Here is a 17,543-nt window from a genome sequence, read left to right on the forward strand (position 1 = left end):
GAAAATGGTGTTTTCAGCAAGTAGTTAAACTGTGTTATAAAATTTGAAACCAGCTGTCAGTCTCCTACCATTTGCTGAAGGTCAAAAGCAAGAACTTTGAAATCCACTGAGAGTTTGTCTTGCAAATTAGGATTATATGTAACTCCGGATGTTATTTTAAATGTCGCTCTGGCTTCATGACTCTGTCCAAGTGCTGCACCTAGATAAATTAATAAGGAAAAAACACTAAGATTTTGGATTATGAGTAGGAGAAAATATGCACATTCTGTTAAGACATAGAAGTAAAGCTCTCGCCTGATGTGTTAGCTCTGTAGTTCTTGCTTTTTCTTTGTAGTCTCATGTTTCAAAATCAGCTGCTTTCTTTCACCAGCTGTCTGATTGTTTTAAAAGATTGGAAACTAAACCTTTTCTCCATTCTTTCAACATTTTTTTTCTTTTCTTTGAAGTCTAACCCACACTCCAAGCTTCCAAATTTTCATTATTATTGTTATTGAGATTCCTGTTGGAAGATACACGGACTGATGAACTCCCACCAATCATGGGAAGTGACTCAGGGAAACATGGTGAGAAGTGAACCATTAAAAGTTTTGTAGTTGCTTTCAGATACTTCTTGAACACCTAGCATCCAGGGACACCACTGGGTTTTGACATATGAATTCCTGTGAAGATTTCAGTGTTTTGGTTACTTTGAAACATGACTTTGAGGCTACTTCTTTCATTCTAATAATTATAAAAATGGCATGCATGACCTTGTGCCATTAGCTGGTGACTGTCTTTGTTGAAGACGTTATTTAGAATGCTGTAGAAAATAGATAACCTCACTAGGAAAAAAAAATGTAAAAAAAGAAGGTTAACGAATTAAATATAAACATGGATAATAAAATGTGTCATTAAGTCCTACATAATCCCTTTATCAGCATATTTTCATTGACACTGATTTATGTTTAAAATGAATTGCTTCAACTGAAACTCACAATAATGAACTCATTAGTAAATATAATAATAATGACATATAATTCTCACAATAATCTGGTGCGAGAAGACGTAGTTTCTTCTTTTCTGAGATAGGGTAATTGGAGTTTAGAACGATTAAGAAAATTTCTCAAGGTAGTAAAGGTCTTAGGCAACAGATCTGGAATTTGGTCATTGAAATGACTGACTCTACAACCCAGGATCTCTATATAATACATTGACACCAAACTATCCCATTAAGAGGATAATTAGAAATAATAATTCAGGCAGTATGTGTGCATATAGTCTAAATAGCTTTAATTGCATAATTGATGTAACATATTATTTATACTATTTCATTTGTATTTTAAATACTCAAAATTACATTGAAGTTTGCATGTTTAAATGTAGAATACAAAGAAGGACTGAGGAACTACAACAGATTAAAGGAGACTAAGGAAGCGTAATAACTAAATCTTATATAGGAATCTGCATTGGATCTTAAGCTGGTAAAGGGCATTAGTGGAAAAACTGGTGAAATTTGAATAAAGTATGTGGTTCAGTTAACAATACTGTAGAAATGTTAATTTTTTGATTGTGACAATTGTACTGTGGATAAACGAAATATTAACATCCAAGGAAGCTGGGTTATATGAGAACTCTGTACAATTTTTGCAACTTTTAATAAGTCTAAAGTGAAGTCAAAAAAAGTATAAAAAATGTTAAAAGTAGTATGTGCTTTGAAAGCCCTAAAGACTCTGCAAAAAGGCTCCTGAAACTGATAAATGACTTCAGCAAAGTTTCAGGATACAAAATAAATGTACAATGTCAGTTGCATTTCTATACGCTAAATACATTCAAGCTGAGAGCCAAATCAAGAATTTAATCCCATTGTCAATAGCCATACAAAAGATAAAATACTTAGGAATATCTCTCACCAAGGATATAAAAGAGACCTACAAGGATAACTACAAAACACTGCTATAAAAATCAGATAACACAAACAAATGGAAATAATTCCATGCTAATGGATTGGAAGAATCAATGTTGTTAAAATGACCATACTGCCCAAAGCAACCTACAGATTCAATGCTATTCCTATTAAACTATCAAACTCATTTTTCATAAAATCATAAAAAATGATTCAAAAATTCATATGGAACTAGGAAAGAGCCAGAATAGTCAAAGCAATCCTAAGCTAAAAGAACAAAGTCAGAGGCATCACATTACGCAACTTCATGCTATACTATAAAGCTATAGTAACTAAAACAGCATGGTAGTAGTACAAATACAGATACATAGTCCAATGAAACAGAATAGAGAACCCACAGTAAAGTAAAGCTACACATCTACAGCCATCTAATCTTTAACAAAGTTGACAGAAAATAAACAATGAGGAAAGGACTTGCTAGTTAATAAACAGTGCTGGTATATCTGGCTAGCCATATGCAGAAGAATGAAACTGGATCCCTACCTTTCACCATATACAAAAATTAACGCAAGATAAATTAAAGATTTAAATTAAGACCTCAAACTATAACAATCCTAGAGGAAAAAAGGAAAACATCATTCTGGAAATTATGCTTGGCAGAGAATTTAGGACTAAATCCTCAAAAGCAGTTGCAACGAAACCAAAAATTGGCAAGTGGGGCCTAATTAAACTAAAGATCTTCTGCACTGCAAAATAAACTATCAAGAAAGTCAACATACAACCTATGGAATGGGAGGAAATACTTGCAAACGATGCATCTGACAAGGTCTAATATCCCGAATCTATAAGGATCTTAAATAATTGCACAAACAAAAAACAAATAAACCCATTAAAAACTGGGCAAAAAACATGAACAAGCACTTGTCAAAAAAAGACATACAAGTGGCTAACAAATATTTTAAAAAATACTCATCACCACTAATCACCAGAGAAATGTAAATCAAAACCACAATGAGATACCATCTCATGCTGGTCGGAATGGCTATTACCAAAGAATCGAAAAACAACAGATGTTGACAAGGCTGCAGAGAAACAGGAATACTTATACACCGTTGATAGAAATGTAAATTAGTTCAGCCACTGTGCAAAGCAGTTTGGCTATTTCTCAAAGAACCTAAAACAGAAATACCATTTGACCCAGCAATCCCATTACTGGGTATATATCAAAAAGAAAATAAGTCATTCTACCAAACAGACACACGCACTCACATGTTCATCACAGCACAGTTTACAATAGCAAAGTTATGGACTCAACCTAGGTGCCCATCAACGGTGTACTGGATAAAGAAAATGTGGTACATATGCATTGTGGAATAAGATGCAGCCATAAAAAAGAATGAACTCATGTCCTTTGCAGCAACATGGATGCAGCTAGAGGCCATTATACTAAGCAAATTAATGCAGGAACAGAAAAAACAAATACCACATGTTCTCAAGCATAAGTGGGAGCTAAACAGCAGGCACTCGTGGACATAAAGATGGCAACAATAGACACTGGGGACTACCAGAAGGGGAAAGTGGGAGAGGGGCAAGGGTTGACAAACTAACTTCTGGGTACTATGCTCAGTACCTGGGTGATGGGATCATTCATACCCCAAACCTCAATATATGCAATATACCCAGGTAACAAGCCTGCACATGTGCCCCCTGAATCTAAAATAATAGTTTAAAAAGAAAAAAATAGCAGTATGCATTATGATCTCTGATGTATTGGTAAAGCATTAACTCGAATCCCTTTTTATATTTAGCTGTTCACTGTTAAACAGTATTATCACTTATAAATATTTATTTTCTCTTTCACTTGTAAAATAACTAACCTTTGTATGTTTATTGAACAACAGGGATTCCAATGGACTTTCAAATGCTTATAGATCCTTCAAGTTATTCACAGCAATTAAATAAGACCAAAACAGCCATTTTTCTAAAAGTTTAATTCAATCTGTATTGTATTTTAGTACTTTGTATAATTTTATAAAATATCCACACTTTCTTTCCCTTTAAAATATAGCCCGTGTGTATGTCTATAGTTTTTAAATAGACCAGGAATTATACTAAAATTATTTAATAAAACTATGGCATGTGCATTACATTCTAATTTAAACTTACTTATTTACTAGAATAAAATAGCTAACCCAACAATTGTGAATTTAATAGGTAAAACTAAAATCACTCACAATGGAAAGATACGGTGGCTCATGCCTGTAATCCCAGCATTTGGGGAGGCCGAGGTGGGCAGATACGAGGTCAAGAGACTGAGACCATCCTGGCCAACATGGTGAAACCCCACCGCTACTAAAAATACAAAAATTAGCTGGGCGTGATGGCGCGCACCTGTAGTCCCAGCTACTAGCAAGGCTGAGGCAGGAGAATCACTTGAACCCAGGAGGTGGAGGTTGCAGTGAGCCGAGATCGTGCCACTGCACTCCAGCCTGGCGACAGAGCGAGACTCTATCTCAAAAAAAAAAAAAAAAAAGAGAGAATTTATATGCACATATATATATATAAAGTTCATCATTTTAAAAATGTAAAAAATTGTTTTTAAGAGAAAATAAACTGTTAATACGTAGGTTATTGCTATGCTTTCAATTTTTTAAATTTACCCTATAAATGAATAAGTGGTAAGATGGACTATAAGTTCCAGAGCGGGATTGTCTAGTTTGGAATCTTACTTCTGCTACCCACTAATAATGTGAACTTAAGCAAGTTACTTCTAGTCTCTGTCTCAGATCCCTCATCTGTAAAACGAGCATACCAATAAGCTTTCATATGTTGTAGCTACACAATACATTTGAAGGTATTTTAAAAGCTGTTGGTACAAAGTTAGCTCTAACTAAGAGTTATCATTTCTTATGCTTTTTCTGTTTATCGGAGTTGCTACTCAGTTTGTGACCTTTTTAAGTCTACATTTATATCCAAGTTATTTTATATTAGTAGAATTAAAATGGTTAGACTGATAAGAGAATGAAGATAGAAATAAACAATATTTTCTGTTAACTTTGCATGTTTATCTACTTACATATTCAACAACATGTTAATATGTTTGTGATTTAAATTATATCAAAACAAAATCAGGGGCCATGAAATCTACTTGATTATATGTTGAAACCAAGATACTTATTTAACATTATTTATTTTAAAAACTACTCAGTCTCATGCTTAAATTCTGCATTAAGTTTCAAATTACATACCAATTAATTTTCCTAATATTCTCTGAAGGGAACTACAGAGAAGTACATGAAGGCAACATAAATATTTTGTCATGAAGATTAATTTGAAATATTAGATTGAAAGCCCAAAATAATGCATTTAGTTGGCAATGAATAAAATAGACTTACAGAATAACTGACACTAAAGTGTGTACATTCAGCTGAGAGCACCTTCACGAGCCAACTCCATGTGACTTACCTCGTTGGGATTCCTTGATTGTCAGGCAGGATACTGCAATTAATCCAGCACAGAGCACTACCAATATGGCAAAGAGAGCTGCAAACATGATTTCATAGGAGCTGAGAGAATGATGCCTAGAAGATATGCCTCTTTTCGACCCCATTTTTGGTTTTGAAGGCTTGCTAATTTAAGAACTGAAAGAGAATATAAATAATTCTACCAACTGAAGAGAAAAATCTCTCAAATTTTTAAAGATGTGTAAAGCAACAACCACCTGTCTACATGCATACCAGTCAGTGTAAGTGAGTTGTGTATGTCTCTTTGGCAAAATTATGTCTCTATACATTAAGTATCATTAAAAGGGTAGTTAATCTTTAAGAAGATATAAATGAGTAAAGATGCCTAGAGTTGTAAATGTTAACTACCTGAACAGGCCATTTGCCAAGGTGAATCAAATTAAATTCATGTTGTAAACAAAAGACATTTTATCATTTTGAGAACTATTAAGAAAAATGTGAAATTCATGACAGACAAATTAGTCACTAGGCACATGCATCTGATATTCATAGAGAGAGTTCCTAACAGATCAACCTTCTACCCTCTGACTCAGATGATTCTTAAGACACTTCTCTTATATGTTGATATAGACCTTCTAAAAATAACTTTTAGGTGCAGATGTATATAAAGCCTAACATATATATACTCTCTCTGTGTACATATACATATACATGTATTCCTTATGGAAACAATCAAAAGTGTTGCAAACTTTGTTATGTCACCCAGGTGAAGTTATGCAATGTAAGGCAGTATTACATAAGGGAAAGTACACTTAAACAAGGCGTTCTATGGCTACTCTTTATGGCCTTGTGCAGTTATTAATGAATGGTAGTACCTGTCATAAGAGGAATAAAATATGTGTTTCTATTCTAAGAAAATAGTCTGGGTGGGGAAGACATTGCTCACTTGCCCTGGACTTTATCTCTTTAAATATGCCAATTAGAACAAGAGAACAGGTTAAGATAATCATAGTTATAGTTGTAGATATATGCTTTATGGAAAAATCAAAGTCATTTTCTGATAATTAAATTACGGTTTAGCATTGGGATTATTCACACCATGAATAATGATGAGTTCAGGAACTTTAAAACACAAAAATTAAAACTAAATAAAACCGAATCTATTCTGAAGTAAACCAATGTGACTTTTATTCTGGTAAATAAAACTGGCAGGAGGTAAGAAAGTTTTAGATTGGAAACCCCTAACACACTGAAATTGTGGCATATTATAATGGGCTAAGATGAACAGTAGCTGCTTTTCTTCTTCTTTACCCATGAAAGAAGAGAATTGCCTGTTGCCCCCAAACTCAAGAATTTTTGCTGATAAAAATAGAATTATGAGTAAACAAATGTATTTCATTGAAAATATTTATATTTTTAGCTAATTGACTTAAATATATATATGAAATATATATATGAAATCAGAGACACCACTTATGGACTTGGGAGAAGTTTATTTTATTTATATTCTAGGGGACAATTACAATAGGCCAGACCCTCTGATAAAATTGGAACCTACAAAAAGCGCCTCTTGAATTTGGAAAGCCAAAGTGAAAGCACAATGACTGTTTTCTTTGTATGGCTAGTGCAGAAGCAAACCCTTTTTAGAATATCATATAGCGCTTTAAGTTACATTTCTTTTGACTTTATAGAAGGAAAGCAGAAGACAGTGAGTTCACATGTCTGCTTCAAGCATAGCATGGATTAATGGATAAAATATTAGATTGAAAGCCCAAAATAATGCATTTAGTTTCAGAAACAAAACTTTCACTTTCGATCACAAATTCTCCTCAAATAATGTTTTAAATAATTATATTTAGTATCAAGCAAATGAGTGAAAGAATAGCTTTTTTAAAGAAGGCAATAATTTATGGAGGACAGACTGAAATTAAACAAACAGATGAATGTGAAAAATCAAATCACATATCTTGAAATTTTTTGAAAAGTTATTAAAATAAAACAGGACTTGCCCTATCAGGTAACAAAACTCGTTACAAAGCTGTGATATAAAGAGAGTGTTGTATCAGTCCCAGCAAAGAAAACTGTCTCAGCGGAATTAAGTGCCCATAAGTGTGATTTGCATATGGAAACTTCATATATGAAAAACGTAGGGCATTAATAATAGGTTAGAAAAGAGTGGCTCTTCAATACATAGCGCCGCATTGATTTGTTCTCCATCTTCACATGAAGAACTTCAGATCTTCATCTCACACCGTGAAGAGACATAAATTCCAGGTGGATTAAGCATATATAAAAAGCACGGAAAAATTTTAGAAGAAAATATAGAAGAATGTCTTTCTAATGATAAGGTATTGAAGGAATTTTTAGAAAAGGATTCAAAAATAAAAGGAAAAATCATGAAGAACATTGATAAATTTAGCCAATAGTAACACTGACTTTTCTTTTTTTAAAACAAAGTGTATCTAAAAAATAAAACCCTAAGCCACAGACTTGTGTTTTTTTCTTTATAATTTTTTTCAAACTGCATATGTTTTCATTCAGCTATGACAGAATTGAACTGAGGCAAAAATTTTGGTATGAGGTACTTACATTTATTTTAAAGGCAGTCCAGAAAACCTCCATGAGAAGGGCTGGGAAGTGAAGAGATGGAGGGTGATAAAGCCAGTGAAGACTGGGTGTGATCAAGCCAGTTACCATCATAGGCATCTGGAACATAAGTCTGCTTGGGACCTGCGTGAGACAGTGGGAACGCGTGTCAGAGCTATCCCACTTAGGGGGAAATAGAGTGGAATATTCATTTGCCAAAAAGCCATGCTCATTGGTTGAGGTTAGCTTCTGGGACGTCAAGTCTGGCACTTCGAGTTACTCTGTGTGAGTAGAACATCCAGGGAAGCTGACTTCAGTGTGCAGAGATGAATGAGAGGGCCTGTGAGTATAGAATCCTTACAATAGCTGCTATGGCTTACAAATAAAAAACACTCTTCAGAGATTAAAGAGATTTTCTATTGACTAACAGATAAAAGACAAGTAGCAGGCAATTGACAAAAAGGGCAAAACCAAACAAAAAAGAAAGAAAACAGGAGCACACAAATGTCTATAGGTGGTCAATGTTAGTAGTAGTTATGGAATTCTAATAAAAATAAAAAACTGACCTTAGACATATAAGCAAAAATTAAAAGCCTTAGCAATACTTAGTAGTGTCATTCATCGCTTGTCTGAGTGAAGATTCAAATAATCAAGTTGAATAGCAATTTGGTTAATATCTAGAAAAACTAAATGCACACATACAATCTGACCTCCAAATTCTCTTTCCAGTTAAATCTGGGACAAGTAGACAATGAGATAACATTCATTATAATACAATTATAATAAAATTGTAAGCCCTACAAAATATAGGGAAAACTTAAGTGTTCATCAATAGGAAAATGAAAAAGTGAAGTGTATTATGTTTATAGAATAAAATGTTATACACAAGTTTAAAGTACATGAACTAAAGTTGTATGTACTAAACTAGAAATAATAAAACAAAATTATATGCAAAGAAACAAGTTTAGAGGGTTATATGTGATGTTGCACAGCCTAAAGTAGAAAAGAAAATCATTTGTTTAGTGATGCAATTCTGTGGATAAGAGTGTACCCGGAAACGATAAATAGAAAATCCGTATGATGGTTACTTCTGAGCAGAAAAGGGGTTGGTTAATATAGAAATAGAACAACAAGGTGTATTTGTATTGCATTACTTCTGTTAAAATATTTGAAATACATTAATGAACCACATAAACTTTGACACAGTTAGAGGAGTAGGACATGTGAGTTAATATTCTGCATTTTTAAAAAAATAGATCAAAAGTTAAAGGGGAGACATAAGATTGAAGTCTCTGTGGTATTATTAATAATTTTCATCTTACCAAATAATTATTAAAATTGAAAGAAACTTTATGTGCTAAACTTTCTTTTTCTTTTTTTCTTTTCTTTTTTTTTTTTTTTTTTGAGACAGTCTCATTCTGTCACCCAGGGTGGAGTGCAGTGACATGATCTTGGTTTACTACTAACTCTGCTTCCTGGGCTCAAGCAATCCTCCCACCTCAGCCTCCTGAGTATATGGGGCTAAAGGTGTGTGCCATCATGCCCAGATAATTTTCTCTTCCCCCGCTTTTTTCTTTTTGTAGAAATGAGGTCTCACTTCGTTGTCCAGGCTGGACTTGAAGGAGCTTTTCTATTGTGAAAAGTGTAGAAGTTACAAAAATGTCCCCATTAGCCAAGTCACTGAATGCCCATAGGAGAATAAGATAATTATTTTAAACATATACTTGAGACATTTAACCGTATAAGATAAAACGCTTTATGTGAAGTGGAAACAAATGAATACATATTTGGGATGGCAAATAAAGAGAATATACAGCTCTAGATAGGGAAGATCACTAACTTAAAGAAAATTTCAGTGAGTAAATTGTTGTGTACCATTTTGGTAATAGGAATGACATATTCTGGTTAGGTGAATAATGAAGTAGAAAGAGACTTGAGGATAGTTGGGTATGGAGTGGGTGTAGCCAATGCTTTAGTTTTTGAGACTCCTAAAGGTGGATTATAATTATTTTTGCCTAGGGCAAATAAAAGGGTAAGAATAGAACAGAGAAGAAAATTAAGAGTCTGATAAGCTCTTGATAATGTTATAGAAGCAAACAGACCATGTGCACAACATATAGTGTTCATTTGTTCACAAATAAGTGGTTTTATACTCTGACTGTATGAAGTAGCAGTAGAAATTGCAGAGTTCCTAAAGATTAAAGCCATGAACACTTCTGTGAAATTTCATTCACTGTTCAACACAAGATGAGAAAACCCAAACAGCTTTCACCTTTAAATAATTTTGTGTGGCTGGGTTGTAATCAGATAAATATCTCTAATACAGTTACATTTTTAGAAACTAATATAAAATAAGAAAATATGTATTCTTCGTCAAAAATACTTCTGGACATTTCAGAGACTTCTTTTTTCTCCAAAAATACCAGTGCCATAGTCAATGAACACTCCTAGGATTGATGGTTCCAAGTTGATATGAGCTTAAGAAATACACATTTGCTTTTCTCCAAGACTGGTAATTATTTCTTTGACTTTCTATATAATTTTAACATGTTATTCTGAGATCTAATTGGCAAATTCTTTGTATTTTAGGTTTTTAAAGGGGTGGTCATCTTTATTCACACACAGTCTGAGGACTATTTAATAAACATCTTAACTAGGCACAAAGGAGAAGGTGGACCTTTAAATATTATTAAATGTCTTTATCATTGAGGATTCTTAAGTACTGCAATCTAAGAGATTTGCTTACTGGATATTTTTGTTTATTTTTTTGATCCTTGAAAAATTTGGCTGGATATAAAAATTTGGTGCTATTCTCTGGTACTGAATATTGAACTAGTCCTCCTTTATTGTTATAAAATAAAAGAGTTATAGTTGTAACGATCAATTCAATTTTAATTGAGTATGTATCATCATCAGTCAGCTTGTTTTAAAAAAAGAAGTGTGTTTAGAAGAGCTGCTGGATTCCATATTCCATGAGTTCATTCATATGTGAGAAATCTTCCTCTTTCTTTTATACTTGACTGATAATATATTGATGCATGGGTAAGTGACAAGTTTTTTTTCCTTGGAATTCTGAAGATTTTTTTAATAGTGTGTTTTTTTTTCTGCCACTGAACATAATTGTGCCAATGTATGATGCTAACCCTTTTTCTTACTTTTGTATGTGACATGTTTTATATCTGCCTGAATGCTTACAGAATTATGTTTTCATACTTGAAGTTCAAAAGAGAGTAAATTGGCATTGATTATTCTGAATTAATCTTTCTTAGAATGTGATGTACCTTTTTCAGTTTCCCTTTTATCTCAGGAAAAAAATCCTTTATTAAAGCTTCAAATCTTTTTTTGTGTTTTTGTTGTTCAATTTACTAGAATTCATAATGGGGTTAGGGTCCAATTTTCCTTAGGATGAATTATCTTAGTCATTTATCTATATCTCTACTTTTCTTGTAATTATTTCATTATATCTGTATCTCTCTCATACATTTCAATTATATGCAATGTTCAACTGTGTATTTCTGTTCTCTGCCATCCCTAATTTACAAATTTGTGTAATGCTGTTGCTTTGTTGTAATTGATTTTCATAATTATAATCTTTCTATTTTATTCAAATTCTGGATTTTGTTACTGGGTTCTTATTGTCTTCAACTCATTTATTAAGTTTTAAAAGTAATAAATAGTACTGTTGAAAATTTTTCTTTGATTGAGTTTGCTTCCAAAATCAGTTTTTGGAAATATTTTCTATACAATCTCCCCCCCTTCCCCCCTTCACCCCTCCCTCCTTTCCCCCTTCCTTCCTTCCCTCCCTCCCTCCCTTCCCTCCCTCCCTCCCTTCCTTCCTTCTTCCCTCCCTCCCTCCCTTCCTTCCTTCCTTTCTTCCTTCCTTCCGTCTTTCCTTCTTAGGTATATTCACATGTCTTCCACACTGTTTCTTTCCATCTGGTTCATGCTTGTCGTAGTCCTACCTGTGTTATTTTTCATTGTTTTCCCATAGAGTAGGTTAATGTCCTTACATTTTTATGAGCTACAGTTTTGAAGAAATTAACCTGGATATGCATTTTTTTTTTTTTTGCAATTTAAGTGGTTAGAGAAAGGTTTTGAGGCAGGAGTATAAATTCACATGAGGCTGTATACAGCCTTCTTTTGATGGCCCATATTTCCTTCTCTTTTCTGCAATTTTGTTAAAAATCCTGTACAAAGGTTCCTTTGTACTAATGTGAGGTTTATTCTATCTGTGAATGTGTGTGGGATGCCACTGGGATGCCACTGTGCTACATACTATTCTCTACAATTTAATGAGTAGCATTAAGAATTGACAAACTCCTAATGGCTCCTCCCATCTCCACTGGGATCCTGTAGCAGTCACTGATCCCTAGGGTTTGCTAGTCCTCAGATATTTTCCCTATCTTTATTTCAGGTTGCCTGCTTACCAGTCACCTGTTTTTCTACAGACTGCAAAATATTAATGAAAATTAGAACTTTTTTGAGTTTCTTTTCAGCAAAATGATGGGGAGGGGAGAGTTTGTAGATGAATAATAGAAAAAAAAAAAGAGCCATGTTGAATTCCCTACTATTTTTGTTATTGGATGGAGTGTATGCCTCAACTTTATTTTTCTATTTGTTTTTTGTTTTCCTGTTGATGAGTTTTTGTGATTTTTTGACTGGTTTGAAACCAGTTTATAAAATCGAATTATATTCTGGAGAAGGAGGTTTTAAGCTTCAGCTCCACTCAAATTTTATTCAAAAGTCCATGTAACTTCTGACCTAAAGAACTAAAGACTATGCCAATTTTATTCAACTTAAGGATATATCAACTTTATTCAGCCAGAATAATACCTAAATATTAATATAGATGTTATAAAACCTCACTGGCTCTAAGATTGTATGCATGGACAATATCATTAGTTATTTTATCTACACTATTAAAAATACTACCAAATCTAGTATTTAGCTGATTACTACTTTACAGAAGGATACAAGAAAACTGAAAATTCACAAACTAAAAATGCTTTAAATTAATAATAATCTCTTGCATTGTTTACAATCCCATTAAACAGCAGTTACATTCCTCTGCTACTTCTAGGTTAATCATAAAGGAAGTCCTTAAGTATGATACATGCTAGAATATTCTTTTTGAAATATTTTAATTACTAAAAAGTGTATTTGCCATTCAAAAGGATGGTGTGTTGTGAAAAATATCACTAGACATGTTGACAGAAGACCCAGCTGTATATATAAGGATTGACACTTACTAGGTATTCTTAGGCATTTTGTTAAAACTTTTTTTTTTTTGAGCTTCAGTTTTCTACTTTAGAGAACAAAGTTATTGATCTTAAAATCACTTTCCTTTCTACAATTTTATGACTTCATGATTTTTATGGTTCCTTCCAAAGGAAAGTATATGATTTATGTCTCTTTACATTAAAAAGTCTTTTTTTCCCTGAGATTTGTTTCAGATATTCACCTAAAAATCACCTATGTGAGACTATCTTTTAAAACATTTTCTGAAGATCTTCTCCTTCATATCTCCCACTGACCTTTCATTCTCTTTGCAATTCCTTTTTATCCTCCTCTTGTCTGACTACAGTGAAACCATATTTACTTTCCCTTTGCTAATGCAAATTCTTGCTTCCTCGCCCTTCATCCTTTGTTCCCACTCCACATGTGGTTTTTTACCTTGCCATATGAAAGTCACTCTCACCAAGCATATTTCCCTAATCTACTTTTGTCTGTAAAGTGGATTATGAAACTTTTGAATGAAAGGCATTATACCAGAACATGCTGAACCGCATAGCACTTAACTCTTCTGAAGGGAAGAACTCTATTCATGGCAGTATTCAAAAATAGACCTGTATTTCGGGGAAGAAACACGAACCAGGCTGGGAAAGATTGCTTTTTCCTCGTAGGGGTTACCACACTTTTTACAGCATCCTACTTGGTTAGTAGGAAGCTTTGAAAAAAATATCAGCATGTTCTTCCCAATCAGCTGCTAGTTTAGATCATTTTCAAAGAAATCCCCTGTGTATCCAGAATCCTAACCAATTCACAATTCTATGATTTCAGATTGTTGTGCCAGCCACATCTGTAGCTCAGGCAAGATTTATCTTCTCACCATGTTACTTTTTAACTTTAATAATCCCAGTGCCCAGAGGTCAAAAGATTATTTGATATTGAAAGAGAGTGAGCCTACTTGTCAGATTTTCTCAATGCTCTTTTATCTAATTTCCCTGCTATCATCACCAAAGTGTTATACCAACATTTACTTTGTCCACAGAATCAGTTTTCCACATCCGCTTGCTAAGTTCTGTCTTAACACAATTCCAGGAAGCTTGTTCTGTTTTCTTTTCTAAGCGAAAGAATAAAAATAAAATCCAATTAGGAGATCACCGAATTAAAGAACTAAAAGTTCCTGACATGGTTTGGACCTCTAAATTCCCAAGTAAAAATTTGCATTTCATGTTTCTGACTATGTCTTTTTAGCCACTATCCAAATAAATTCATTGGGTAATATTTCGTACTAGGTAAATACATAGCTTCTTTGCTGCTGTTTTATTTTTAACGATGTCAGTTTCGAGAACAAAGTGGCCAGGTATGTAGTGTGATTTTGCTTAAATAATTTGTACTGTACCTAGAATTATGTGTTTGATTAATGTGTCTAGTAACCCTGCTGCTGCTGCTGCTGCTGCTGAGTTGGGTCCATTAACATTAAAAATAAAATAACTCACAAAAACCAGGAAGGCTGCATTATTAAGTCATTTTTTTACGACAGGGAAGTCAATGACAGAAGCATGACCCTGGTAAAATTGGTTAGGTGTAGGGAATTAAACGGCATAATAACATGTTCAGTTAAATTCCTTACATTAGATCCTTGGAAACGTTGTGTAAAAATAAGATAAATTTTAAATAAATATAATTGTGGTGGTGATCATTCTCTATCTGTATTCATTCTTCCCTTTCGCCTTTTAGAGACGAAACTAACTGAATTTTACCTGTGCACCACAAGCTACCTGCCCTAGTTTTCAATCTTTCTTCAGTTTAGATGTGGTCATGTGTAGGTTGCTTTTTCAATAAAATTGTAACTATGAGTTTGAATTAGAAATTTAAGTGTAATTCATAATGCATTTTCCCCTTCCTGCCTTCCCTCCCTCCCTCCCTTCCTCTTCCTTCCTTCCTTTTCTCTCTCTTTCTTCCTTCCTTTCTTTCTTTCTCTTTCTTTTTCTTTTTCTTTCTTTCTTTTCTTTCTTTTCTTTCTTTTCCTTCCTTCCTTCCTTCCTTCCTTCCTTCCTTCCTTCCTTCCTTCCTTTCCTTCCTTCCTTCCTTTCTTTCTATCTTTCTTCTTTCTTTCTTTCAGATGCATTATGTGTCTAATTTTTTTTGAGACAGAGTCTCACTCTGTCACCCAGGCTGGAGTGCAGTGGCTTGGTCTCGGGTCACTGCTACCTCCACCTTCCAGGTTCAAGCAATTCTCTGCCTCAGCCTCCCGAGTAGCTGGGATTACAGGCGCCCGCCACCACACCTGGCTAACTTTTTTTTTTTTTTTTTCTATTTTTAATAGAGACGGAGTTTCACCATCCTGGCCAGGCTGGTCTTGAACTCCTGACCTCTTGATCCAGCTGCTTTGGCCTCCCAAAGTGCTGAGATTACAGGCGTGAGCCACCGCGTCCTGAACTCTTTATTTCTTGCTTTAGGACAGGGTCTTGCTCTGTCGCCCAGACTGGAGTGCAGTGGTATGATCATAGCTCACTGCAGCCTCAAATTACTGGGCCCAAGCGATCCTCCCACCTCAGCCTCCTGAGTAGTTGGGACCACAGGCGCATGCCACCAGTCCTGGCCACCTTTTTTATTTTTTGTAGAGACAGGCTCATAATGCACTTAAAAAAATAATTAAAATAATTTGTTTACAAAGTGCTTACTTGTTTATGTGATAGTAGTAATTATTTAGCTATAATATTTTAATGACATGCTTTTTCTTCCAGTAACTATTTCAGCATAGAAATATTATAGACTTAAGGAATGCATAGAAACTTAATAGACTGTCATTAGAATGTTAAGATATTATTTCTCCTTTTTATTTCCTTTAATTTTTTAAAATTCTTACAATTTAAGGTGTTTATACTCCATTTTTAACAGTTTTTTTTAAGATACACACCACTGCACATATTTAATGTATACAATTTGATGAGTTCAGACAAATGCCAACAATGTAAAATCATCACCATAATCAAGGAATAGACATGTCCTAACAGCTCCCATTTTCTTTGTGTCCCTTTACTTCTTGTGTGTGTGTGAGTGTGTGATTTTTGAACATAACGTGAGCTTTCAACTCTTTCTTACCAAATTTTGAAATGCACAATATCATATTGTTAACTCTAGGCACTATGTTATACAGCAAATTTCTATAACCAGTTTATCTTGCATAATTACAATTTTATACATATCGAATTCTTCATTTGCCCAACTCTGCAGCCCTTGGCAATCATTATTGTATTGTCTGCTTCTATGAGTTTGACTATTGTAGATACCTCATATAATTAGAATCATGAATTATTTTTTCCTGTGTGAGTGGCTTATTTCACTTAGCATAATGCCTTCCAGGTTCATCCACGTTGTTGCAAAAAGCAGAATTTCCTTCCCTTTTAAGGCTGAATAATAATCCATTTTATGCATATATCACATGCTTCTTTATCCATTTATCTGTCAAAGGACACTTAAGTTGTTTCCATATCTTGGCTACCGTGAATAATGTTGTAATAAACGTGGGACAGAGATGCAGATATCTCTTTGTGACCCTGATTTCAATTTCTTGGGATATATACCCAGAAGTGGGATTTCTAGATCATATGGTAGCTCTATTTAAAAATTTTTAAGGACCTCCGTACTGTTTTCCATAGCTGTTGCATCATGTTACATTCCTACAAACACTGTATAAGTGTTTCAATTTTTCTACCTTCTTGCTAGCCCTTATCTGTTTTTTTTTGACAGTAGACACCCTAAAGGTGTGAGGTAATATCATTCATTGTAGTTTCGATTTGTATTTCCCTGATGATTAGACATTTTGAGCACTTTTTTACACACCTGCTGGCCATTTCTGTGTCTTCTTTGGAGAAATGTCTATCAGGGTGCATGCCCATTTTTAAATTCAGGTTACTTGTCTTTTTGCTATTGATTTGTGAGTTCCTTATATAGTTTTGAAATGTATCCCTTATCAGATGTTCGTTTTGCAAATGTTTTCTCCTATTCTATAGGTTGCCTTTCAATCTGTTGCTTCCTTTCCTGCACAGGAGCTTTTTAGTTTGACATAGTCCCACTTCTCTAGTTTTGCTTTTATGTTCTATGATTTTAGTGCCATAGTCAAGAAATCTTTGCCAAGACCAATGCCAAGAAGGTATTCCCCTATGTTTTCTTCTAGAAGTTTGACAGTTCAGATCTTATGTTTAAGTCTTTAGTCCATTTTTGTTTGATTTTTGTGAGTGGTGTTAGGCAGAGATCTATTTTTGTTTTTTTGAAGGTAGTGTCTAGTTTTCCCAGTTCTACTTTTTGAAGAAATTATACTTCCTTACCCATTGTGTATCCTTAGCACTGTTGCTAAAGATGGGTTGACCATATATGTATGA

General features: G+C 34.0%; 1 protein-coding gene across 8 annotated transcripts in view; it reads right to left on the bottom strand.

Moving 5' to 3' along the window:
* The window catches only part of TMPRSS15 (transmembrane serine protease 15), a 216,769-nt gene that overhangs the window by 129,015 nt on the left and 70,211 nt on the right, over positions 1-17,543 (bottom strand). For 4 of the 8 annotated variants that reach the window (NM_001428057.1, NM_001428056.1, XM_047440913.1 and 1 more), the window contains exons 2-4: positions 7,936-8,076; positions 5,348-5,523; positions 69-199 (exon numbers count right to left, since the gene is read on the bottom strand). In NM_001428057.1, coding sequence (NP_001414986.1) covers positions 69-199; positions 5,348-5,492 — 276 coding nt within the window. In that variant the 5' untranslated portion in view covers positions 5,493-5,523; positions 7,936-8,076. Of the gene's footprint in view, positions 1-68; positions 200-5,347; positions 5,656-7,935; positions 8,077-17,543 lie in introns of those variants that run through there. The other 4 variants (NM_002772.3, XM_011529658.3, XM_011529655.2 and 1 more) reach the window with 3 other exon arrangements.

The sequence above is a fragment of the Homo sapiens genome, chromosome 21 (assembly GCF_000001405.40).
Source record: "Homo sapiens chromosome 21, GRCh38.p14 Primary Assembly".
Classification (NCBI taxonomy): domain Eukaryota; kingdom Metazoa; phylum Chordata; class Mammalia; order Primates; family Hominidae; genus Homo; species Homo sapiens.